This window comes from Homo sapiens, chromosome 10 (genome assembly GCF_000001405.40).
Source record: "Homo sapiens chromosome 10, GRCh38.p14 Primary Assembly".
NCBI lineage: Eukaryota > Metazoa > Chordata > Mammalia > Primates > Hominidae > Homo > Homo sapiens.
The window spans coordinates 77,563,997-77,590,375 of record NC_000010.11 but is presented as its reverse complement, the minus strand read 5'-3'; the positions used below and the strand labels follow the sequence as shown (position 1 = coordinate 77,590,375).

At 46.4% G+C, this 26,379-nt stretch overlaps 1 protein-coding gene and 1 pseudogene across 53 annotated transcripts in view, besides 4 other annotated features; one reads left to right on the top strand and one right to left on the bottom strand.

Annotated features, from left to right (window-relative positions):
- Window positions 1–26,379, top strand: part of KCNMA1 (potassium calcium-activated channel subfamily M alpha 1) — a 768,207-nt gene that overhangs the window by 47,433 nt on the left and 694,395 nt on the right. The gene's annotated exons all lie outside the window — the stretch shown is intronic.
- Window positions 3,217–3,327, bottom strand: RNA5SP321 (RNA, 5S ribosomal pseudogene 321; annotated as a pseudogene).
- Window positions 24,397–25,251: an enhancer, noted in NCBI's record as "H3K27ac hESC enhancer chr10:79324883-79325737 (GRCh37/hg19 assembly coordinates)". NCBI's record gives its function as "activates a minimal SCP1, AML or CMV promoter by ChIP-STARR-seq in naive H9 embryonic stem cells {active_cell/tissue: H9 hESC(naive)}" and the evidence as "EXISTENCE:reporter gene assay evidence [ECO:0000049][PMID:30033119]".
- Window positions 24,397–26,108: a biological region, named in NCBI's record as "H3K27ac hESC enhancers GRCh37_chr10:79324026-79324882 and GRCh37_chr10:79324883-79325737".
- Window positions 24,991–25,285: a silencer, noted in NCBI's record as "tiled region #368; K562 Repressive non-DNase unmatched - State 21:Repr, and HepG2 Repressive non-DNase unmatched - State 21:Repr". NCBI's record gives its function as "represses a minimal TATA promoter and a strong SV40 promoter by Sharpr-MPRA in K562 cells, with weaker repression in HepG2 cells {active_cell/tissue: HepG2 | K562}" and the evidence as "EXISTENCE:reporter gene assay evidence [ECO:0000049][PMID:27701403]".
- Window positions 25,252–26,108: an enhancer, noted in NCBI's record as "H3K27ac hESC enhancer chr10:79324026-79324882 (GRCh37/hg19 assembly coordinates)". NCBI's record gives its function as "activates a minimal SCP1, AML or CMV promoter by ChIP-STARR-seq in naive H9 embryonic stem cells {active_cell/tissue: H9 hESC(naive)}" and the evidence as "EXISTENCE:reporter gene assay evidence [ECO:0000049][PMID:30033119]".

Genomic DNA, 26,379 nt, shown 5'->3' with positions numbered 1-26,379 from the left:
CCGTGGGCTCCTGTGCTGCCCGAGCCTCCCCGAGGAGCGCCGCCCCCTGCTCCACGGCGCCCAGTCCCATCGACCACCCAAGGGCTGAGGAGTGCGGGCGCACGGCGCGGGACTGGCAGGCAGCTCCACCTGCGGCCCCGGTGCGGGATCCACTGGGTGAAGCCAGCTGGGCTCCTGAGTCTGGTGGGGACTTGGAAAACCTTTATGTCTAGCTAAGAGATTGTAAATACACCAGTCGGCACTCTGTATCTAGCTCAAGGTTTGTAAACACACCAATCAGCACCCTGTGTCTAGCTCAGGGTTTGTGAATGCACCAGTGGACACTCTGTATCTAGCTACTCTGGTGGGGACTTAGAGAACCTTTGTGTCTAGCTCAGGGATTGTGAACGCACCAATCAGCACCCTGTCAAAAGAGACCACTTGGCTCTCTGTAAAATGGACCAATCAGCAAGATGTGGGTGGGGCCAGATAAGAGAATGAAAGCAGGCTGCCGCAGCCAGCAGTGGCAACCCGGGTCCCCTTCCACACTGTGGAAGCTTTGTTCTTTCCCTCTTTGCGATAAATCCTGCTGCTGCTCACTCTTTGGGCCCACGCTGCCTTTATGAGCTGTAACACCGCGAAGGTCTGCAGCTTCACTCCTGCCTGAGCCAGCGAGACCATGAACCCACCAGAAGGAAGAAACTCCGAACACATCCGAACATCAGAAGGAACAAACTCCAGACGCGCCACCTTAAGAGCTGTAACACTCACCGCGAGGGTCTGCGGCTTCATTCTTGAAGTCAGACCAAGAACCCACCAATTCCGGACACAGTAGGATGTACACACACTTTGTGCGTGTGTGTGTGTGTGTTCAGCCTTCCAGGATCATTTAGGAATTTTTATTCCTTAATTGACATTCAAAACTTGATGGTAGAGGTGAGGAGAGGCCCAGGGAGCTTGGGAGAGGCCACGTTGTTTGTGCAGTTGGAAGACTCTGGGCAGGAAAGGAGCACCACATCCAAGTCAGAGAACACGGGAACAAGAAGGGCCGTCCATGTGCTTCTGATTCAGCCCCATCGTTTTAACTGAGACCTAGAAAACTAAGTACTTGTCCTACTCCAGTGCTGCCTCCCCAGTCATCCATGGCCAGACTAAATTACTCTATCTTTCCTTTGGGCTGCAAAGTCGTTTTATTTATAACACACCTCTCTTGTTTTATAAGTAGCCATGAAGGGGTTTGTTTTACCCACTAGATTAGGGATTGGTACATTACAGGTCGAATCCGGCCCACTGCATGTTTTGTAAATAAAGTTTTATTGGAACACAGATATGCTCATTTGTTCGTGTATTGTGCATGGCCACTTTTGTGCTATGTCAGAGGTGAGCATTTGCTACAGAGACTAACTGGCCTGCACAGTCTGAAGTATTCACTATCCGGTTCTTCACAGAAAATGTTTGCCAGCTCCTCCCCTGGGAGGTGAGCTCCCTGAGGGCAGGAACGGCACTCCGTTTATCTTGCTGCTTCTTGTTTCTTGCTGGTAGTAGGCACTCAATAAATGTATGTTGAATAGGCTTGAAATGCAGTGGATTGATTTGTCAAAGATGAGCGCCAGCCACATGGCTGTTCTGGCTTCCCCAGGTTTCCTCTTGCTGTTTGGCCACTTTGTGCTCCAGTTTTCTCTCTACAGAAAGAAGATAATATTATCTATCTTGCTGAGTTCGTTGATCTGTGGTGAGGGTAGAACAGGATATTAAAATATCTTACTAGAACCTTGGGCCCAGCTTCCGGTCTTCCTGATGGTTTCAATCCAGGCCTAGCACGGGACCTCTGTCTAAAATTCTCTGCTCTCATGGCCCTGCCATTCCTGAGGCACCCTTTGCCTCCAGGCTAAAGTAAACACCTGTCATTCATGATCCTCCTTACTTTGATATGATAAAATATCAGGGCCCAGACTGCAGTCCCACGGCCCTGGACTCCAGACCTACCTGTCTGTCTTGATCTCTCAATCCTCTAGGGCAGCCTTCTCCTACATCCAGAATTTTCTGCATTCTGTCCCCTACATGAATATTGCACTTGTTCTTGGGACCCTATCCCCCTCTCCCTCCTAACTTCCTACCTTGCCCCTTTCTGCCTTTCTGCTCTCAGCCTCCTGTCTGCCCTTGCAGGTCTCTTTTATGTCTGACCTTGCTGGAGTCCTTTGACCTCGGCCAACAGGAGTGACTGTCTCATTTGCCACTTAGGCACTGTCTTAGGTTTTAAATTTTTAATCTTTGTGGCTGCTTGTTAAAAATACAGGGACCCAGGCTTCATTCCCATGGAATTAGAATCTCCAAAGATGTGATCCAGGCCCCTTTGACTTTTAATAAGCTCCTAATGTGGTTGTGATTATGATCAAAGTTTGAGGAAGACTAACTTAAAATAGAGTGCTTTGCAGTATTATTTCTCTTTCTGTGGGACTCTGCTTATGTCTCCAAATAAACTATAAACATCTTGAAGGCAGATCTGGGCCTTATTTTCTTTTCAGAGTGGCACATATATCTGAAGACTGGGGCCGTGAGATGATCTGTCGGTGAGATAACTCCACCTGGGGCCCTGCATCTGATAGGCGCTCAGTAAGTGTTTGCTTGTTGATCAATAAAAGACATGAAAGCACCTGGGAAAGCAAAACAGCCTCTGCAAAGCAGGGCATTATTACTGGGAGCAGATCTGATGTGTACCTTCCACAGATTCCACTGAAGGTGTCCTCAGAGCACCGGACACTCAGGGGCCCGCAGCCCAGACACAGAAAGTCCACTCTGCTGAGAAATGCTCACCAAGCAGAATCCCTCACACTCTCTAGCTTTGTTTTCTTTGATCTCTCTGAGCTTAGGAGGAAAGGCTCCTGTTCCCTCCCTCTTGGCTTATCCCAATAATGCAAAGCCATAGAAGTGCAGGCTGCTGGGGAAAAGTTTGTTTGGACACTTAAGAATGTAGAAAAGGGTTTAGCTTGTATAAAGAGTTTTGCTTTCTCATTATAATGCTTGGAGAGAAGTGCAAATGTTTCATCTCCGCCTACTGAGTTATACTGCCTGTTTACATAAGCCTATATTCAGTGGCCTGAGAAAAGGCTTCTTGCCTTCTTCAGGGCGTGATGGTGCAATCTTGGTGTAGAGTTTCCAAGCAGAGATGATGCTACGGCCTCACGTGGTGGGAAGGCTGTGTGGCAGGAAGAATAAGTTCAAACTGTGCTTTGTTTAGAACTGTTGTGCAAAGTTGTTTCTTCCATCCAAGTATTAACTGGGCCAGACCCTGCTTAGCTGCCAAGATCAGACAAGATCAGGTGTGTCCAGGGTGGTATGGCCGCAGATACCAAGCTATTTCTAACACAAGGATGCTCTCCTTTTATTGAGCAGGGAGAAGACAGCACGTACAGACCAACCATCCTGGTTGTAAACTTGTGTCCTAGTCAGAGCTCTTTCTAGCTGGAGTAGAAAATTCTTAGGCTGTATGTAATGGAAAGAGAGTGGAGTCCAGCAATAAAAACAGATCAGGTAAAAATAGAGCTAGGAGTCAATAGTGAGGGCTGAGTTAGGAGAGTTCTCTGTACTTCCCTAGAGATTTCCAGCCATCTAAGCATACGTGTGAGTTCTTGCTTTGACAAATAAGTACTCCACTGGTATGCACATAGAAACTTCTTTCACCTGTGGGATCATTATTAACATGTTTTATGTGGAGGGAAAAATAAAGATTTTAGAACTTCTTTCTTCCCTCATGTTTTCACTCCATTAATATTAGGCTTAATTATTCAAATTTATTATATTAGAGTCTTATTGCTTAATTTAAAAAATTGAATGGATTATTAGCTTTTTAATAAACAGTGACATTTACTGTCTACTAATGAGGGCTCAAATCATGTAATTTATTGCTGCATCTCTATTTTGTTCATGAAATGAAACAGAAATTACTACCTACTTGAAACTGGACTTGTTTTCTGCGCTCCTATGAAACTGAACAGTGGAGGGTTGCTCGTGAAGGATCTGGGACATGTTTCATATGGAGCACAAGAAAAGGACGTCGAACATGCAACGGTCTGCATCCAGGTGCTAGAACCATTTTGTTTTTCCCTTCATCATCCCTAGAACCAAGAGTGTGGGTGGGAATAGCTCAGTAGAGTGACCATGTGATCCTGTGTTACAACTGAAGACAAAATCTGGCACAGAGTCTCTCCAGTGATGACTATGAAACTGACTGGTGCCCCATCAGATTCAGAAGTGGAGAGTGTTACATACTGATTTCAGAAAAATGTTAGATAAACATTGGGACCCTTTATTATATACCGGGAACAGAAAATGCATGTTGATAAAAGTTTGGGATGTTCCATTTCACTCTGATATAAAGTGTGCGTGGTCAGATTGGTTTCTATTTTTGATAAAAATGAGGTTCTGGAAAGCCATTCTGGCTCATGGGCTTATGAGAAAAAGGTTTTGGAAAGGAGTTTTGGAGTGCTCCCCTACAGAAATAGCACTGCTTTTTAATTGTTCTGTCGCTAGAGCCTTGGCCCCAAATAACAATGCATGAATCTCAGTATTTGTCTTCAAGGAGCTGTGGTCTGATAGGAGCATATAGTATACCTATATGGATGGGTATAACTGAAGGTGGTGAGGACCTGTTTTTAGATGCCTGAGAAATCCAAAAACAAGACAGGGAAGTTGTTCGTCTGGGAATCATGAAGCATGTAAACCTAATTAGGGGAGGTGGCATCTGATCTCATCCTTGCAGAATACATAATTTTTATACAAACAATGTTGAAGAGGTGATGAGAACAGAAAAGCTGGGTAAAGTGCAGAGCATGTTCAAGGAAGGGTTACAAACATTTCTTGAGGGCCTGCCATGTGCACAGGGCACCAATCTAGTGAAAGCAATCTGATAAGAGCTTGGTACAAAACCAAGTAATATAGCTTGTGCATTACCTTCACTCCTCTTACTCCAGTAATTTTTGAGTAAAATAAATGTTGTCTTTAATTATATTAATTCATACAACTGCGACAACGGCCTGGTGAAATCAGTACCATGCTTGTCCTCATATGAGAGAAGAGGAAACAGACATTTTAAGTTAAGCGACTTGCTTCAGGTCACCCGGCTAGTGCGTTGTGGGGCTGAGACTCACCCCAGCCAGTCTGACTGTGCAGGAGTTGCAGCCATTTGTTCCTCTGTTCACCTCCCCCGATAGTCTGAGTGGCCTGAGAGCAGGCATGTGTTTTCGTCCTCTTGGTACTCCTGTCATCCAGCAAACTGCCCAGCATGTGGTCAGAGTTCAGTATGCCAAGTACAAAAGATCTGCTATGGAGATTCTTAAGTGATCAATGGGTTTTGAGGGACAGCTTGGAGAAGGGTAGGGAGGTTGTTCTGGGGTCAGAGAAGAACGTGAGCAAAGGGCTAGAGTGGCTGAGAGGACTGTGCAGGGAGTGCATGCTCCAGTGTCCCTTGGCCAGGTGTGTGGGCTTCCCATAGGGAGCTGGAGGTGATGCTGGAACAGCGTGCTGTGGAAGCCTTAAGTGCAGCCGAGTGCTGGGTTCTCTGTGAGACTTCTTAGGGTCTGGAAGACTGGGTCAGACCTCAGCCTCCTAGGTGATGTCAGACAGCCAGGCCTTCTCCCAGCTCACTCTTGAGTGTCTCTGTCAGAGACAGAGTCAGAGACTGAATGGCGTATGGGCTGGATTTCAGGGAGCATGTTCTTCTTTAAAAACATTTATGGAACAAGGCCAGGCGTGGTGGCTTATGCCTGTAATCCCAGCACTTTGGGAGGCTGAGGCAGGCAGATCATGAAGTCAAGAGATCGAGACCACCCTGGCTAACATGGTGAAACCCTCCCTGTCTCTACTAAAAATACAAAAATTAGCTGGGCGTGGTGGCATGCACCTGTAGTCCCAGCTACTCTGGAGGCTGAGGCAGGAGAATTGCTTGAACCTGGGAGGCAGGGGTTGCAGTGAGCCGAGATTGCGCCAGTGCACTCCAGCCTGGCAACAGAGCGAGACTTAGTCTCAAAACAAAAACAAAAACATTTATGGAACAACTTAAATGTACCACATTCTGTGGCTATAAAGACAAATAAGGGCTTCCCACAAGTCTTACGTATATGTTGGATTGTTGGTGCTTGTTGCTAGGGGAGGACGAGTGGGTAGTGAATACCAAGGCCCCGTCTAAGGTGGTTGGGTGGTTATAAAGCACTGTGGACTGACGGTGTTTCTCTGACCCTAAGGAGCTGACTGGCAGGGTACCCAAGTCCTGCTCACTGCGTTTTTGTAACTGAGCTAAGAACTGAAGAAATCAACAAATTGCCACCAAATCAGATCCTTAGTAATGCGTGATAAAGCATGACATATGAAAGAGGACACAGAATTTAATCATCTTACCCCATAAATCCAGCCCCCTGCAATCTGTCTCTTGTGTGAATAAGACTTCAATTTACAGAAATGGAAAGTTCCTTTTTTATCTACATATGGTTATACCTCCTTTCCTACCTGGAAGGCATTTCCTTGTATTTCCTTCCTGAGTAGTGATCAGGACTTGGGGTTGGGCACCAAAGCCTTTAGGAAGTGGAGTTGGGTGTGTTGGCCTCTCCTGTTGAGTCAGGACTGAGGCTAGGCCTGAAAGGTAGGTGACAAGGTTGAAGCCCCAAACCACTAAGAATCAACACCCACTTCCTCTTCATCTGCTCTGCCCCAGGCCAGGGAGGCAACCCTGAGACCCAGGAGTAAGCTCAATCCTGCTTTACTTGCCTGGAAAGTCAAGTCACTCATCAGAGGAGGAAGAGTCAGTTTCCCTCAAGGATGGGCTCTTGGTCATGAAGCTGACTGCTGTTGTATTACTCAGATTTCAGATCTTAGAAAATTATAGCAGCATGGGCTTTGAAGGCCAAATACATGATCATCACCTCCTTTTGAGATGAGACTCTCCTGGTATGACATCCAGTACTCAGAGATGCCATATGCCTTCTGGACTTGTGTCCCTATGTGAGAAATATTCAACCATGCTCTATCAAGTCTCTATTTGTCAGGACCTGGATTCCAGCAGCCATTTGTGCCCCCGTCCATCTTTCTGTGAAACTGGGCCAGTGATGCATTGACCTCATTTCTGATGGGCTTCATAGTGGGACTAGTTGTGGTCAGACCTGCATAAGACTGACCAGGAAGAAGCCCAACCTGGGAGTCCAAGGAGCAGAAGCAAGGTTCAGGACCAGGGAAGAGCAGGCAGAGCTACAAGGGCCAGGCTCTGAGCAGTAAGAGATTGGCAAGAGCAGCCCTGCTGATGAGCCTGTCACAGAGGTACCATGATAATCCTGGACCAGTGAGTTATCTTTGTAGCACAAAGAAGGTTGGAGGCACAGATTGCTGTGGACTGAAGTAGGAGGGGAGGGAGATGCTCTCGTAATCTCATGTTGCCTGAGTCAGCTTTGCCTTGCTATTGGCGGATGGGGCTGGTGGCCTGTCATGTGTGCAGATGAGTCAGAGGAAGTGGGCCCTCCCTGGCTGGTGGCTTGCCCCATGCCTTGGGGCATAGCTAAGCAGTTGCATGTCTACTAAACAGTCTTATCTGGAAGCAAATATGGAACCAAACACCTGAGCGTCTGCCAAGGCCTCCACCACCAAGGTCAAGAAGTCCCCCGAGGGGCATGGCTCTGTGAGCTGCCCTTGTAGGTGTCCTGGAGAAGCAGGCACTTCCTTGCAGTTGGTCAAGAAGAGGCAATACTTCTTGCTTGTGTTAGGGATTTTAGAGCAGCGGATTTAGGGCATGGCAAGGTTGGGGCTACTTCCGGGGGAATGAACATTTTTTAAAAATTTTACTTTAAGTTCTGGGATACAGGTGCAGAACATGCAGGTTTGTTACATAGGTATACACGTGCCATGGTGGTTTGCTGCACCCATCAACCCGTCATCTAGGTTTTAAGCCCCGCTTGCATTAGGTAGGGAATGAGCATTTCTTCAGGTCCCTAAGCAGAGCTTGAAAATGATGATATCAACTTTAATCACTAGCAATTATTAAGCTCCTCTTCCACATATATTAAGTTGTTTATGCCTCATAATAACCCTGATGCAGGCATCATTATTTCTGTTTTACAGAGGAAGAAACAAAGATATGAAGAGGTTAAATAACTTGCCAAGGCCAATCAGCTAGCGAGCATCAGAGCTAGGATTCAAGCCCAGGCAGACCAGCTCCAGAGCCTGAGCTAGACTCAATGTCAGTGATGATGTCGTTGACCTTCGGGGACAGATTCTGCTTTTGCCCTGGTGGGTCTGGGTTGAGATGCATTGCATTTGATCTTGCTGGAGAAATTTCCAGTCTTCTCAGCCCTGGGAAAATATGTATATTGGAACCTCAGAGCTACACCCTGAGGGTATGTCTCCTGGTTTGCTGAATTTTTAAAAAGAGGTTTTACTCTATGGCCAGCTTTCTTGCCAGGAGATCAGAGACCGATGACAGCTGGCAGAATCGGCCTCTGTTCCAGCTGTCTCCTACCCTTCCTAAAACTCAGATGCTCTTTGAAGCTGTCTTCCTCCATTGAGGAGCATGTGCTTCTTCAGTGACAGCCGGAGAGTGGGACTGGGCTGGCCCCTGTCCTTCTAAGGCCACCACCTGCAGCACTCCTAGTCACCGTTCCAAGGTCACTGTGGAGGAAACAGAAGTGGCCGAGAGAGGAAAGGTGCTTCTCAAGGAGGCTGAGAGTGGAGGGAGTAAGGCAACTGAGCACGGCAGTTGGGTGGGCCCAGGCCACCAACTGTTTGTCCTGCCTGAGTTAAGAGTCCAGAATTGGGGCTGGGTGTGGTGGCTCACGCCTGTAATCCCAGCACTTTGGGAGGCTGAGGTGGGTGGATCACTAGGTCAGGAGATCGAGACCATCCTGGCTAACACGGTGAAACCCCATCTCTACTAAAAATACAAAAAATTAAACAGGCGTGGTGGCGGGCACCTGTAGTCCCAGCTACTGAGGCTGAGGCAGGAGAATGCCGTGAACCCGGGAGGCAGAGGTTACAGTGAGCCGAGATCACGCCACTGCACTCTGCCTGGGTGACAGAGCGAGACTCTGTCTCAAAAAAAAAAAAGTGTTGAGAATTGGGTATCAAACAGAGCCTGGTGTCTGTCCTGGCTTTGGCTTTTAGCAGCCTGGAATCAAATAGCCACTTACATGAAATTTCTAACACTGTCATGGATGGCAGGCAGGTGCTGGAGTCCTACTGCCTGCATTACCCCTGATGTCACCACCAGTGAGCCGTGAGACCTGAGTGAGATTGGCTATGTAACTTGCAGGGTCCTGTGCAGAATGCGAATGTAGGGTTCCTATAAAATGTATGAAGAATTTTATGATGGTGATAGCAGAGCATTAAGCCAAGCATGGATTCTTCCCAGGTGTGGGGACCTGTATGATGGCACAGGTTGTACTCTAAGCCTCAGTTTCCTCATCTGCAAAGTGGAGAAAATAGTATATTTCCCATAGGCTTGTTGTGAAGTTTAGGAAAGATAATAATGCATATAAAGTATTGGGCCACATGGTAAGGGCTTGATGGACACCAGCATTTATGAGTGCAGGGTCAGAAATTCACAGCTTCTTTTTGGGTCATTGGCAAAAGATCACGGAGAGCAAAGGTACCTGCAACAGTGGTTTAGCTTCAGGAACAGGTCTGGACTTTGGTCTCTGCCCTTGGCTGCTATGGCTTGGGACTCTGACCTCTTTTGCAAAGCACAGATGGCTCTTCTGCAGGAGCAAGAGGCCCCTCATCACATGCACAGGCCACATGGATCCAGAGACACCTACCTCCTAGAAGTGTGTGTGGGATCCTGGGGCAGGCTGACCCTGCCCTGCATTTCCCAAGTCATGGGCCAGGAGGAAGGCAGTAGAGATTGGAGCTGTTTTTGATGCGTTCATTTTTTATTTGCTGAAATATGTTGAAAGTCAGTTACCAATATCACAGGATTTCATCCCTAGAGATTTTAGTTTGCATTTCTGAAAATAAAGACATTTCTTTTTTTTTTTTTTTTTGAGATGGAGTCTCCCTCTGTTGTCCAGGCTGGAGTGCAGTGGCGCCATCTCGGCTCACTGCAAGCTCCACCTCCTGGGTTCACACCATTCTTCTGCCTCAGCCTCCCAAGTAGCTGGGACTACAGGCGCCCGCCACCACGCCCGGCTAATTTTTTGTATTTTTAGTGGAGACGGGGTTTCACTATGTTAGCCAAGATGGTCTCGATCTCCAGACCTCGTGATCTGCCCGCCTCGGCCTCCCAAAGTGCTGGGATTACAGGCATGAGCCACGGTGCTCGGCCAGACATTTCTTATATATATACTATAATCTTATTGTAGACATTGAAGGTTTTTGTTTGTTTTCTGGATTTATTAAGGATAGCATTTTATGGAAAGTTAGCTGGATATGTGTGGGGAGGGAAAGTGATTAGTATTAATCTGGTTTGCTAGGACGAGAGGCTGTTATCCAAATTCAAATTTGGCATTCAATTCAATTGCTGTTCATGGAAGAAACATCCGGGGACACCTGCCTCACTGCCCCAATGGGTCAGATGGAAATCACTTTCTAGGGGAGCTTCTGTGACTCATTTCCTTTGCTGGGATCCCTTCTGTCTTCCACCTAAACCATCACAAGGGCCTCCTGAGGGTCTCCCAGCCTCTGGAATAACACCTTCACTGGTCCGTTCTTTACTGGCCACCAGAGAGGCCTCTTGAAGACGTAACCCAGATCTTGTCTTTCTTTTTCTTAAAACCTCCCAAAACTTCCCCATTGCCCACAGCAGGAGTCTACCGGCCACTTCTTTTTGTATAGTCCATGAGCTAAGGATGGGTTCTATCTCTTTAAATGGTTGAAAAAAACAATAGACACATTATATTTTCGACATATGAACATGATAAGATATTCAGATTCAAATATCTATAAATAAAGTTTTATTGGGAAAGAGCCATCTGCATTCACTGATGTATCTTTTATGGCTGCTTTCAAGCTTACCGTGGCAGAGTTGAGTAATTGTGACAGATTGACAGCTTGTTACAGAGAAGTTTGCCCACACCTGAGCTGTAGGATAAAATTCAGGCTTCTTCGCACACACCTGTGGCCATTTGTCACTGACACCCCTGCCTCCCTGATCCCTCCTGCTTTGATAACCTTCCATGCTCTTAGCAACTCCCAGCTGCCGGCAGATGCCCTGCATGGGCCATTTCCACCTCTGTGCTTTGCCCCTTCTCTTCTCTCCATCCTTGCTGCTTCCTTGGCTAGACATCACTGACTCATCCTTGAAGAAATCCCCTTCTCCAAGAAGGCTTCCTGACCTCCCCTCTTTCCCTTTCATCCTGTTTGGTTTAGTGGCTCCCTCCCTGTTTGGACAGGAAAAACAGAAGCCCAACGACTCCGGGAGGTTGGCAGCTGGGCGCTCAGCACAGAGAAAGGAGGCCTGGGGCCAAAATGGCTCACTGAGTCAGCAGACCCAGTGCCTGGTATATGCCAGGTGCTCTAGATGTGAAGAGCACAGATGCAGGCCCTGCCTCTGTGGGGCTCACATCCCAGTGGGAGATACAGACAGTTAATGCACATTTTAACAAATATATAGGGGATGAGAGTCCATGTCTTGGGAGTGCCCTGGCCAGTGGCTAGGAAGTGGTGGCAGGTGGATTTTCTAGATAAGGAACCCAGGAAGGCCTCTGAGGAGGTGACATCTGAGTCCCGAGAGAGGCAGAGCCCTTGGCGGCTGGATACTCTGGAGCGAGAGGGAAGATGAGATCTCTTTCTTTGTCCTCTTCAGGCTCCAGGAGGTGGTGAGAGGTTGTCACTTCTCTTCTTCCAGGCTCACAGCACCAGCAGCCTAAGAGTTTACACCAGACTTTCAAGTCAGAGTCCTCCTCCCTCGTTGGGGGCTGCAGGCTTCCCTCAGACCCTTCTCTAGAGGGCATTTGATCCCTACCACAGGACTTAACTGGAAGCCCCTTTTTGAGATCTGTGAGATGTCTGGGATTTTCCGGCCAAGAAGGACTTCAGAGATAGGCCTGTCTTCATCTCAAGAAGCAAAGCTGAAACCCAGAGCAGTTGAGTCCCTTGGCCACCGGGCTGATCAGCGGCACAGCCGGGACCAGAGTTCTGGTTTTCTGACCCTTAGAGCATGAGATCACTCATCTTCTTCTGATTTAATTGGGGGATCTCAGGACAGATCAGCCACTAGAATTGGGAGGAGGCCATTAAAGGAACCCCTTGGGTCCACACACCACTCAGGAGAAAGGCCCACTGGTGAGGCCAAACTACTTCTTTGAAGAGGCTTCTCTTAGTATCACCAGTGGTGTGTTGCTGGAGGTGTCCAGAGGCACTGTCCGAAGCTGCTGGCCTCTAATCCCACCAGTTTAATTTAGCTCCAGTCCTAGGGGAGCTTTGCTAATTATAGCTAGCTGGCCATGCTGGGAGCTATAAATAGGGCAGGAGGCACCTGTTTGGTCCTTACTGGATGTTTATCAAGGTACCTGCAGAGGATTTGGCCACTGGACTGGGTGCAATGTGGGCACAGAAAGCACCTTGAACTGTGCTCTTTATTCAGTTTAGGCACCAAAGCCAATGTGAACTGTGGAGGGGGCAGGGGGATGTCACCAGCACAACCTGGAAACCAGACTGTCAGAGTTCAAATTCTGGCTTCACCACCAACTAGCTGGGAGACCCTAGTTACCCAAGCTCTTTGTCCTTTAGTTTTCCCATCTGCACAATGGAAATCTAGATATTTACAAAGAAGGCTGTTGTGAGGATGGAATGAGTGTATGTTTTTATCTATACATAAGTTACGTATGTGTGTATATATGTGTATACACATGTAGTTTAGAGTTGCCTGGTGTATTAAGTGCAATTATATTGCTTGATGTTATTTATTACCATATGAAATGGCCTGAGGACGGGACCATCTTGCATAGAAACCTGGATCTTGGAAGGAGGCTGAGTCTCGGTCTCTCCCGGTCCTTGATGAGGCAAGTTAAGTGCCTCATCTTTAGGCAGTTAAGGCAAGTTAACTGCTTCAACTACATGGCAGTTAAGAGAGTGTGAGCCGGGCGTGGTGGCTCACGCCTGCAATCCCAGCACTTTGGGAGGCCGAGGCGAGTGGATCACAAGGTCAGGAGTTCAAGACCAGCCTGGCCAAGATGGTGAAACCCCCGTCTCTACTAAAAATACAAAAAAATTAGCCGGGCATGGTGGTGGGCGCCTGTAATCCCAGCCACTCGGGAGGCTGAGGCAGAGAATTGCTTGAACCCGGGAGGCAGAGGTTGCAGTGAGCCGAGGAAAGAAAAAAAAAGAGAGTGTGTAGGCTCGTCAACATGGGGTCAGTTACTGCTGTTACCTCCTGTTTGGCATGCTACTTCACATCTGTAATTCTCCATTCTTCTCCATTCTTTCCTGTTAAACTGTGGTGCCATAGCAATGAGCATTTCATGGGATTTCAGTGAGAATTGAATGAAATAATACTTGCAGAGCATTTCACACAGTGCCTAACACATGGTGCATGGGAAACAGTGTAAGCCATTGTCGTCCTTCCTCCTCCCGTTAAATGACTTGGACAGGTTACCAGCATCTCGAGGCTTGATATCCTGTAGCTCTCTAGGCTAGAGAATGGGACCAGTGGCTTAGAGGGCAGAAGGCTAGCAGTCCTGAGACCCCTGGCCTGCAGATGGGAACTGGATCTTCTTCCTTTGCAGTCTTCTTGTTCCAGCTGTTAGCGTCACTCCTTTTAGAATCCCATGGTGAGCTTTCTTGCACGGCTGTGTGCTTCCTGTGTTTCTGTCATTGTGCCCCAGCTGGGTCCCAAGCCCTGAGGACCATATGCAGCATGTGGTGGACACTTAGGAAGCACGTCTCCAGTGGAGGGGACTTAAATGTCACGTAGTACTGCCCCATCAAGTGCTGGGAGAGGCCGAGAGTCCGCCTGCTTCCAAGATCCCTGAGGTTTTGTTTGTTGTGACATAGCAAGAGGAGTTAAAGGATGGGGGATTGTTTCGTAGGGAGAAAGAGAGGCTAAGAGGTAGAGGTGGGGACAGGATACCTGGGTGCCTTTCTGGGAGAGGAAGTCTTTTTCTTTGTCCTGTGGCTCAGAGCAAGTCTCTCAGAGTGGAGGTTTCAAGGAGGCAGATCTCTGTTAGGGAAGGGCGAGTTGCCTGGCCCTAGACCTGCTTGAAGTGGGAAGAATGTAGATTTGGCAGTCAGGCCTGCTAGTCTAGGGCCTTGTTCCTCAGACGGTGGTTAGAGGATCAGCAGCACAGGTTCCACCCAAACCTCCTGGGCATGAATCTAGATGCGTCCGGATGTGCACACAGAAGACTGAGGAGTGCTATTCTAGAACAGAGCTTCTCAAGCCAGGAGCCATTCTCCCCAATCCATGGCTGAGAAGCCTAAGGCTAGAAACATGGGCCTTGAGCACTGGATCTCAAAGCTCTAGTTTCCTCTCTGGACCAGTAGCATCAGCCTCACCTGGGAGCTTGTTGGAAATGGAAATTCAGAGGCCCAACCCCCAAGTCAGGGACTCCCCTCTGGGGGTGGGGCCCAGGGCTCTATTTTAACTGGCCTTCCAGTGGCTCTGAGGCACCAGTGAGATCGATAACCAAGAGCCAGAGCACCTGCACGTTGGAAACTCCTGGGGAGATAAAGCAAATGCTTGGAACAAATCCGAATAGCCTCTGGGTATGGCAGGGACTCTGGGAACTTCAGATGCTCCCCGGGTGATCCTAATGTGCAGCCAATATTGCGAACCAGCATTTTAGGCCTGTGAACTAAATCTCAGCGTTCTCAGCTATCAGTTGGGTAGACTAACCTCTGTTTGCCTGCCAGTGATGGGAAGGTGCCTTGGGGAGCATTAAGACTTAGCTCCCTGGGTTCTGGAAGGCACACCAGAAAGTGGGCTTCCATCTGTCCAGAAAGGTGCAGCCAAGATTCCCGTTTTGGAGGAGGCAGGATTGGATGCCCGCCATGGCCTCAGGTGGAATTGCAATGTGGTGGCTGTTTGGTCCAAGTACTAAGTGCTGTAAAGACGATAACCTGCTCTGGAAAAGGAAATCGCTAGTGCCTTGAGAGAACAGTTCATGCATTCTCCTCCTCTTGTGCTTCCCAGCCTCTGCCACCACTGCTTAATTCTGGGGCTTACCTTTAGTGAGGTCATTTGCCCTGTATTCAGGGAGCTGATGCTGTCAGCACTGTCCTAGCATTGGAACGGTGGGGCTGTTGGGGAGCTGGCCGGCTCGTTCTGGGCACTGGTGGAGGCAAGAATGAGGTTTAGAGAAATATTTACCCAAAGTAATCCCTTTGCTATGCCACTGCCCATCTCCCAGGAGGCTGGGCAACAAACACAGGGTTCTGGTCATCATTTATTGAGGGGACAAGCTTTGCCTCCCAAGGGCTAGGAGGAGGCAGGAACAAAGGGTGGTGGTACGATCTGTGGTCCCAGCCCCTGCAGTGGTCAGGCCCTGGGGCCTCCTGAAAGCCATCAGCTCCCACTCCAAGCAGGCTGCATGTGCAAAATGAATACTGGATTCAAAAGCATCATGAAGCACCAGACATGGAAAGCATTCATAGTCTTGTCTTAGAGGCAAAATTATATGGCACTTACAGTGTGTTGGGTGCACCATTCAAAGTATGACCTCATGTGATCCTCACGACCATTCTATGAGCTAGGAGTCGTCATTTCTCCAATTTTATGTGAGCAGTTGCTCTTCAGAGGTCTGTGATGGTCAGCCTCTGCATTTCAGAAATAAGGAACTAAAGGCTCAGAGATTAGATAAATGCCCTAGTGGTCATAATGAGTGAGTGGCAGAGACCTTAGAAGTCAGGTCCCAGTGGCTAAAGTACATCCTGAAAAAGAGAGAATTTAACGAGACTTCTTTTTGATTTTCAGTCTGGGATGATTTTAATACAGAATGCCTGGATTCAGTAACACCAGAAAAAACAATCCACAGGATGTTTGTGTTAAAAAGATTCAGAGGCAGTCATCTAGCACAGTAAATCCTAAATTTTTTAGACCACATCCCACAGTTAAAGCACACATTGTGTGTGCAAAGCATACATTGTGTATATACATGTGTATTATATCTATGTGTTATATATACATGTGGATACATTCTGCTAGATTTTATATATATATATATATACACACGCATAGATATTAATATATATATCTTATAGAAAGAAAAGTTCCTGAAACAATGGCTGTCCTTACCACATGAGATGCAGCTTGACATAATCTTTTCATTATAAAGAATGTTACAAAGGATAGGTCTGGGTACAGTGGCTCATGCCTGTAATCCCAGCACTTTTGGAGGCCAAGATGGGTGGATCGCTTCAGGCCAGGAGTTCGAGACCAGCCTGGCCAACATGGTGAAACCCTGTCTCTACTAAAAATACAAAAATTAGCCTGGCATTGGCACACGCATGTAGTCCTAACTACTCGGGAGGCTGACGTGGGAGAATCACTTGAGCCTGGGAGGCGGAAGTTGCAGTGAGCTGAGATTGTGTCACTGCACTCCAGCCTGGGTGACAGAGTGAGACCCTGTCTCAGAAAAAAAAAAAAAAAAAGAGTATTATAAAGGATATAAATGAACAGGCAGGTGGACAGGTATACAGGGTGAGTCTGGAAGGGTCCTGAGTACAGAAGCTTCTGTCCCTGTTGAGCGAGGTACAGACCTATTCTATTCTATTCTATTCTATTCTATTCTATTCTATTCTATTCTATTCTATTCTATTCTATTCTATTCTATTCTATTCTATTCCATTCCATTCCATTCCATTCCATTCCATTCCATTTTCTTAAAAAATAATTGCTTATAACCTGTTACATAGATTTCCTGGTCAACCAGGGGGTTGAGGCCTGCCATCTGAAATTGCTGTTGTAGTCCAGCTCTCCTGCTGTAGAGGAGGATGCTGAGGTTTTGCCTCATATTATGCTTCTCTTAGTCACAAATCTGAGGCCAAATGCAACTGTACTGAGGGCCACCCCTGCCCAGCCTGCCCCTGCTGTTACACCTGAGGCTTTGTTAAGAGTCTTCCTGGGTCATGTCTGACCTATCCTGTGGTTTTATGCCTACACATCCCCACCGCCCATGCACACACTACACATCATGGCTCCCGGGGAGGCCCACTGGGCTCTCTCTGGCCATCAACTGTTTCATGCTCCTCTCCTCTTCTGATCACTGTTCTTTTCTGCCCCTTCTGAGAATCAGAGTGAAGATTTTGAGACTTAGTGGGAAGGACTTTTAAGCTGATGGATTTAAATATAAGATATTTTGAGAGATGACTTATGTATCCAGTTCTACACCAGCTCATTCCCAACCTGAAGTCCCCCAAACTCTGAAAAGTGAGTGTTTTTACCTAATTCATGGAGGGGCTGGTGGTGAGTGGAAGCTGCCCTGAACTGCGAGGCAGTTTATGGTCTTCATTCATCCAGCTTAGTCTGAATTGTCGTGTGTCATTGAAGAAATGTTAGTGTGTGTGACTGTGATGTGCAGCCCAAACCTCAGAGATTCACCTTAATAATTTCCTAAAACCCGAAACAATTGGAATTCTAAAACACATCTGGTTTTGAAGATTTTGAGTGAGGAATCATAGAGCTGGAGATATATTTGCAGTGTGTGCATGTTATTGATTTTTTTTTTTTTTTGAGACAAGATCTCACTCTGTTGCCCAGGCTGGAGCACAGTGGCATGATCATGGCTCACTGCAGCCTTGACCTCTCGAGCTCAAGCGATTATCCTGCCTCAGCCTCCTGAGTAGCTGGGACTATAGGCACATGCCACCATGCCCAGCTAATTTATATATATATATATATATATATATATATATATATGGATTTTTTTTTTTTTTGGAGCGACAGAGTTTTGCCATGTTGCCCAGGCTGCCTCGAACTTCTGGGCTCAAGTGATCCAGACATATCAGCCTCCCAAACGTATTATTGATTAATCAATGAATTTTTTTTTGATAAGAAGTAGTGACAGATGTGAGAAAGTACAGTAGACTGGTTATCAGAAGGTTGGCCATTACTGGTTATAAAATGCACTTTTGAGGGCTTTTGTGAGGACGAACTGAGTGATGGCTATGAAGCCTTCTGGAAACTACCTGGATAAGTTGTTGTGTGTGGTCTGGTTTCTTTTTAAAATTCTGAATTGTAGTTTCTAATCCTACACTCATTTTCAACTTTTGGCCCACATCATGTGTGTATAGGGTAAAATATACCTCTTATGTTGACATCCTGTGACGAAGAATGACCCAGAAAGATACGGAGACAGAGAGAAATGTCTCTACAGTCTTTGTAGATTCTTTCCCCATCCACTCTGCTCTGTTCTAATATTTCCCACTTTGTTCTACCTTCTTACAGCATTTCAGATGCTCCTCAATTGGAACTGCTGACTACACAGGCGTGTGCGTTTTTTCCTCCCTTCCATTAGCCTTATAGGTCATTAAAACCTTGTTGCTGCTGCTTTCCTTTTCCTATAAATACATCTACATTTCAAAGTTTTGAAAGCTTATTCCTTAGAAGGCCCTGGGAACTCTGGGCTCCAAAGACCAAAGAAAGGTGTATCTAGCTTTAAATTAGGTACGGGAAAAAGCACAGATCTAGGCTCTAAGAAAGACTTCGCTGTGTTTACAATAAATCAGATTGAGGGCGTGTCAGGCTTTAAGCCAGGATTGAAAGCATGGCCTTTAGAATACCCAGGGAGCCAGACCTGGGACCCTTGCCAGGTGGGGAGTTGGAAATGAGATTTCTGTCTGAAGCTTTCCCCTACAGGAGAAATATATCCCTAGGGGACAGACAGGTGGTCCAGCAGACATCTGCAGGGGGGCAAAGGGAGAAGACAGGGGCCCTTATCTGTTTTGGCTTTGGCTTGCCAAAGGATGGAACAATGTTTGCTGTGAGAATTTGTAATCATAAGTCTGCCTTCATGCAAGTTTGGGGTTTGAATTTGTACTGCCTGGGTGACCCAGGAGACTCCACGCTGCAAAATTAACTGGAGGTAGTTTGGGGTTGGTCACACCAGAGTTCCTGTCAGAATCAAATGCACATTCTCTCTGGAGGGACATACTTGTAGCTCAAGCCTTGATGGATTCCTGTAGGTAAAACCCAGCCATTCAAGCATGAGCTTTCACTCTCAAAATCCAAAACAGATGAGGAAACCAGTCACCACGAGTGAAAGTCAGCAGAAACAACAGACAGAAGAATCAGATTCCCGAGGGTTTCAGATATAGTTCCAATGGAATAGGTAATGTATTTTAAATGTTTGAAACAAATGAGGAAGAAACAATAGACTAATTTTTAAAATCCGTGGAGATTTGAAGAATACAAATAGGACTTCCAGAAATAAAAAATAGAATAACTGAAACTGAAGATCTTCAGCAATTGGCACACATTTGTGTAAGTTATTTTTATGAGCAACATTAAGATAGCAATTCTCATAAAGATATATCAAAGAAAGTATTTTTTTTTTTTTGAGACAGAGTCTGGCTCTGTTGCCCAGGTTCTAGTGCAGTGGCGCAATCCTGTCTCACTGCAGCCTCCACCTCCCAGGCTCGAGTGATCCTCCTGCCTCAGCTTCCAGAGTAGCTGGTACCATAGGCATGTGCCACCACACCTGGCTAATTTTTTTTTTTCCCATTCAAAAGTAATTTCTTTTTTTTATTATTATTATACTTTAAGTTTTAGGGTACATGTGCACAATGTTCAGGTTAGTTACATATGTATACATGTGCCATGCTGGTGCGCTGCACCCACTAACTCGTCATCTAGCATTAGGTATATCTCCCAATGCTATCCCTCCCCCCTCCCCCTACCCCACAACAGTCCCCAGAGTGTGATGTTCCCCTTCCTGTGTCCATGTGTTCTCATTGTTCAATTCCCACCTGTGAGTGAGAATATGCGGTGTTTGGTTTTTTGTTCTTGAGATAGTTTACTGAGAATGATGATTTCCAATTTCATCCATGTCCCTACAAAGGACATGAACTCATGATTTTTTATGGCTGCGTAGTATTCCATGGTGTATATGTGCCACATTTTCTTAATCCAGTCTATCATTGTTGGACATTTGGGTTGGTTCCAAGTCTTTGCTATTGTGAATAATGCCGCAATAAACATACGTGTGCATGTGTCTTTATAGCAGCATGATTTATAGTCCTTTGGGTATATACCCAGTAATGGGATGGCTGGGTCAAATGGTATTTCTAGTTCTAGATCCCTGAGGAATCGCCACACTGACTTCCGCAATGGTTGAACTAGTTTACAGTCCCACCAACAGTGTAAAAGTGTTCCTATTTCTCCACATCCTCTCCAGCACCTGTTGTTTCCTGACTTTTTAATGATTGCCATTCGAACTGGTGTGAGATGGTATCTCATTGTGGTTTTGATTTGCATTTCTCTGATGGCCAGTGATGGTGAGCATTTTTTCGTGTGTTTTTTGGCTGCATAAATGTCTTCTTTTGAGAAGTGTCTGTTCATGTCCTTTGCCCACTTTTTGATGGGGTTGTTTGTTTTTTTCTTGTAAATTTGTTTGAGTTCATTGTAGACTCTGGATATTAGCCCTTTGTCAGATGAGTAGGTTGTGAAAATTTTCTCCCATTTTGTAGGTTGCCTGTTCACTCTGATGGTAATTTCTTTTGCTGTGCAGAAGCTCTTGAGTTTAATTAGATCCCATCTGTCAATTTTGACTTTTGTTGCTATTGCTTTTGGTGTTTTAGACATGAAGTCCTTGCCCATGCCTATGTCCTGAATGGTAATGCCTAGGTTTTCTTCTACAGTTTTTATGGTTTTAGGTCTAACATTTAAGTCTTTAATCCATCTTGAATTGATTTTTGTATAAGGTGTAAGGAAGGGATCCAGTTTCAGCTTTCTACATATGGCTAGCCAGTTTTCCCAGCACCATTTATTAAATAGGGAATCGTTTCCCCATTGCTTGTTTTTGTCAGGTTTGTCAAAGATCAGATAGTTGTAGATATGCAGCGTTATTTCTGAGGGCTCTGTTCTGTTCCATTGATCTATATCTCTGTTTTGGTAACAGTACCATGCTGTTTTGGTTACTGTAGCCTTGTAGTATAGTTTGAAGTCAGGTAGTGTGATGCCTCCAGCTTTGTTCTTTTGGCTTAGGATTGACTTGGCAATGCGGGCTCTTTTTTGGTTCCATATGAACTTTAAAGTAGTTTTTTCCAATTCTGTGAAGAAAGTCATTGGTAGCTTGATGGGGATGGCATTGAATCTGTAAATTACCTTGGGCAGTATGGCCATTTTCACGATATTGATTCTTCCTACCCATGAGCATGGAATGTTCTTCCATTTGTTTGTATCCTCTTTTATTTCCTTGAGCAGTGGTTTGTAGTTCTCCTTGAAGAGGTCCTTCACATCCCTTGTAAGTTGGATTCCTAGGTATTTTATTCTCTTTGAAGCAATTGTGAATGGGAGTTCACTCATGATTTGGCTCTCTGTTTGTCTGTTGTTGGTGTATGAGAATGCTTGTGATTTTTGTACATTGATTTTGTATCCTGAGACTTTGCTGAACTTGCTTATCAGCTTAAGGAGATTTTGGGCTGAGACAATGGGGTTTTCTAGATATACAATCATGTCATCTGCAAACAGGGACAATTTGACTTCCTCTTTTTCTAATTGAATACCCTTTATTTCCTTCTCCTGCCTAATTGCCCTGGCCAGAACTTCCAACACTATGTTGAATAGGAGTGGTGAGAGAGGGCATCCCTGTCTTGTGCCAGTTTTCAAAGGGAATGCTTCCAGTTTTTGCCCATTCAGTATGATATTGGCTGTGGGTTTGTCATAGATAGCTCTTATTATTTTGAGATACGTCCCATCAGTACCTAATTTATTGAGAGTTTTTAGCATGAAGGGTTGTTGAATTTTGTCAAAGGCCTTTTCTGCATCTATTGAGATAATCATGTGGTTTTTGTCTTTGGTTCTGTTTATATGCTGGATTACATTTATTGATTTGCATATGTGGAACCAGCCTTGCATCCCAGGGATGAAGCCGACTTGATCATGGTGGATAAGCTTTTTGATGTGCTGCTGGATTCGGTTTGCCAGTATTTTATTGAGGATTTTTGCATCAATGTTCATCAAGGATATTGGTCTAAAATTCTCTCTTTTTGTTGTGTCTCTGCCAGGCTTTGGTATCAGGATGATGCTGGCCTCATAAAATGAGTTAGGGAGGATTCCCTCTTTTTCTATTGATTGGAATAGTTTCAGAAGGAATGGTACCAGTTCCTCCTTGTACCTCTGGTAGAATTCGGCTGTGAATGCATCTGGTCTTGGACTCTTTTTCATTGGTAAGCTATTGATTATTGCCACAATTTCAGCTCCTGTTATTGGTCTATTCAGAGATTCAACTTCTTCCTGGTTTAGTCTTGGGAGAGTGTATGTGTCGAGGAATTTATCCATTTCTTCTAGATTTTCTAGTTTATTTGCGTAGAGCACACCTGGCTAATTTTTGTACTTTTTGTAGAGACAGGGTTTCACCATGTTGGCCAGGCTAGTGTTGGACTCCTGAGCTCAAGCAGTCCACTTGCCTTGGCCTCCCAAAGTGCTGGGATTATAGGTGTGAGCCATAGCACCTGGCCCAAGACAGTTTTTTTAAAAAAAATAATTTACAGTTTTACAGATTAAATGTGTCATAATGCATTGGAAAGGGTGCCCTAGCTCAGACCTGAGTGTTTCACTTAATGGCTGTGTCACCTTGGGTTACACTGCAGCCCCTTGGATCCTCTTGTGTAATTTGACTGCATGGTTTTGCTCCCAAGGTTCAATTAGATAGTTTTTGAAAGGATCTGGATTTCCCTTTAGCCTTTACTTTCCTTGGTTCTGGATACTAAATAGTTTCTCCCTTAGGAAGGGTCCATAGTTTCTCGTTTAATTAAATCAGCTCCTGAGATGAACAAAGGGACTGTGTTCATAACTGCCGGTAGTTCCTCCAGGGGCTAGGATTTGCTCAAGAGTTACACACGCTTATCTGGAAGCCCATGGAGGAGGCTGGCGGCTAAAAGGTAGGCTGCCAGCCAGAAGGTCAGTCTTGGACTGCGAGGCTCTGGCCGTGCCTCTCCACCGGGGTGGTGATGGATGGCGGGGTTCTGATTTTAAGAGGGGCCTGAATGTGGTTAACATGGTGACAGATATGGATCTTGGTTGGGCACAGCCTGCAAATTCCAATTAATCTAATCCCCCGCCTTGGGAAATCTGAACATTGCGTTGAGCTTGAACTCTACTGTAGGGCTCAGGGCCCAATCTGTTACATCGCTCTGCAGGCATCCCGTGCTCTGTCTCCTTGGTCAGCTCTTCTAGAGGACGGTATCTGCCAGGGCTCCCCCAGGGCCTGAGCTCCCTGAGCAAGGGAGAGGAGGAGAGAGGAACTGGGAAGGTCTTGAGTAGGGAGGTTCAAGGTAAAACTAGCCACAGGACAAAAACTTCTTCCCTCCTTTTCTCCCTCCTTCCTTCCCTTCCCCTCTCTCTCTTTTCCTCTTTTCATTTCCTTCCCACCTTTTCCTTCTTTTGCTTTTTCTCCGTTTCTCTCTTTCCCTTTTTTACTTCCCTTATTGTCTCTCTGTAGCCGAAGAATGCAAGACCATTTTGTTTTCATGCCACGAAGTGAGTACATGAACATTTGGAAAGTAGGTCTCACCTGGGCTTGCCTCCACCCGGAACAACTCTGGACACATAGTAAGTTTTCAGAAGCAGTCAGATGGAATCATCCTGGACATTGGTGCAGCTTCTGAACCTTTCCTGGTGTGAGTCCAAGTTATGGCAATGGAATTCTACCCAGGAAGGGAAGCAGCAAACCTGAGTAGTGCCCACCTTTGCGGGGGAAATGGCAGGTTCCTCCCTCTCCAGTGATGGGGGCTCAGCCTGCAGGGAACCTTTCTTCCCAGCCAGCCTTGGAACTCAGTGCTGTCAGGCTTGCTGATGACATCACTGGCCTTCCGTGGGACAGCTGCAGCCAGCATCAGGACACTCCAGAAATGCCAGCAGTAATTGGAAACTTCATGTTCAGATGCTTTCCACAGCATTCACGCATGGCGAGAAGTGCTTCTGCCGAGGGACTTTTCAGGTGGTGCCCCGAGCAGGATCCCTGGGAGACCAGGGAGATCAGAAGCCAACTTCCATGTTTCCTGGACCAAGGATCCTGGGGGATGGGATGGGGGGACATTCCCCAGAGGGCTGCAGCTTTCTGTCAATGGGATTTCATTTGGGTTGGTCTCCAGAGAGCCCACAGGGTAAATTTCTAGGCATTAATTTCCAAAGCCTATTTTTGCTATTCCACTTAAAGAATATTTCCATCTTTCCTTGCCTATCACTGCTGCCTGATCTTGTTTGTGCAGTAGGTGAATAGAAGAGAAATAAGAGGAGAGAAAAACATGAAGATTTTAGGGGAGAGAATATTCCGTGGAGGCACAGCAACTGCCTTTGCATTTCTGATGGTCTGTAAAGCGAGGAGGCACTGGCTTGTTCTGTGTGTCCCTGGTGAGAGCGTTAGGGCTGTGGGGAGGTGCATTCATGTGGGGATCTCAGGGGGATGGGGTGGGAGGCTCACATTTGACACCTCCTGTGGGATAGCTGCAGTGCTAGGGTTTGCGTCTCCAGATGTTAGAGGCAGTAACTGCTAGCCTGGTGCCCATCACAGATACCAGTTACTAACCACTTATCTTGTGCCAAGTACTAAGCACTGCACCAGATCAACTCATTTCCTTCTTACAACTACCCTCTTGGGTGGGAACTATCTCTGACATCATTTTACAGGTGGAAGAGAGTGACTGGGAAGAGCACAGCTGCTTAAGGTCACACAGTGCGTTGGTGGCAGGGCCTGCCCTGGAACCGAGGCTGCCCATCACCAGGCTCCTGTCCCCAGCTCTTCAGCACCAGGATCTGTTTCTCAATCATGTCTGAGCTGTGTGTTGAATGCACTGGTCCTGTCTTCCACATTTTTTTCCTCTACCTTCTTTTTATCATCATCTTAACTGTCATATTAACATACTACCTTATAAAAGTGTTGAAAAGATAGCAATTTGGGAAAATGTGCTCAGAAGTAAAAGCTCTCTCCCTGTTTCCCCGCCCGCTGCTGCATCACTGTGCTTCCTTTAAGGGAGTGCTTACCATCCGCGTTGTCCTCTAAAACGGGAATGGGAGGGAATCCCTGGAATCCCTGGAATCCCTGAGCCTGGAGGGATTCACAAGGGGAAGGTAACCACTTGCAGGAGGCCAGTGCTGGGTGCAAGGCAGGAGGACTAGGGGACACTTAAGGTCCAGCCTAAAGAGGACAGTCACTGAGAGTGGCCCTTGATGGGGCTTCCACTGGGACAGAGATGGGTGCTCCCAGAGGGCGATTTGGCCGAGAGGCAGTGGCTTCCCTTCTCACCGTCTGCCTGACTCATTGCCCTTGCCTCCTGGCCACTCTGCCAGCTTTCCTTCACCCCCTGCTGCATATCCTGCATGCAGCTGCCCAATTAAGCTCCCCAAATACTGATTTCATGATGTCACTGACTCCTCTGAACTCCTTTTACCTCCCTTTGTGATCAGAAGCCTGAACTTCTGAACTCCTCTACTCCTAAGCCAAAGAGTCCGCCCTCTGACCCCAGCTTGTCTTCCCTCTGCTATCTGGGAGTCTCTCCTCTTTTCCACTTAGTTGAGTTCCTGGTTAGTTCAAGGCTCCATTCATTCTTTCTTTCACCTAGATGCCAGGAGGAAGCTGCGAAGGCTGAGACATAAAGACATGTCACCTGCCCTCAAAGAGCGCTTGGTCTTGGGAAGGGGCATGCATGAAATCACCTTTTTTACATTTAAATTTAAATTTATTTTTGAGACAGAGTCTTGCTCTGTTGCCCAGGCTGGAGTACAGTGGTGTGATCTTGGTTCACTTCAATCTTTGCCTCCCAGGTTCAAGTGATTCTTCTGTCTCAGCCTCCAGAGTAGTTGGGATTACAGGCATGTGCCACCTGTAAAAAAAATACCTGGCTAATTTTTGTATTTTTAGTAGAGATGGGGTTTCACCATATTGCCCAGGCTGGTCTTGAACTCCTGACCTCAAGTGATCTGTCCGCCTCGGCCTCCCAAAGTGCTCGTGTTACAGGCATGAGCCACCATGCCTGGCCATGAAATCACCTTTGATCAGCGTGGTGAGAGCCACTTCAGGCTGCATACAAAGCCTTCCTCTTGCAGGAAGCCTTTATTGATTGCACTGTCACTGTGAATTCACTCTTCTCTGGAGGCTGGTGAATCCTCATCTCTGTTCTTCTCTTTTTGTTCCTTGTTTTCTGCCCGGTATAATTCACTTTCTTTTATTGCCAATATCTCTTGGACTTTAGCCCCAAGGAACATACCACACTGCCTGGCACTGTGCCATGTGCCTAATAATAAGGAGGTACATTTATATTGAGCTCTGATTC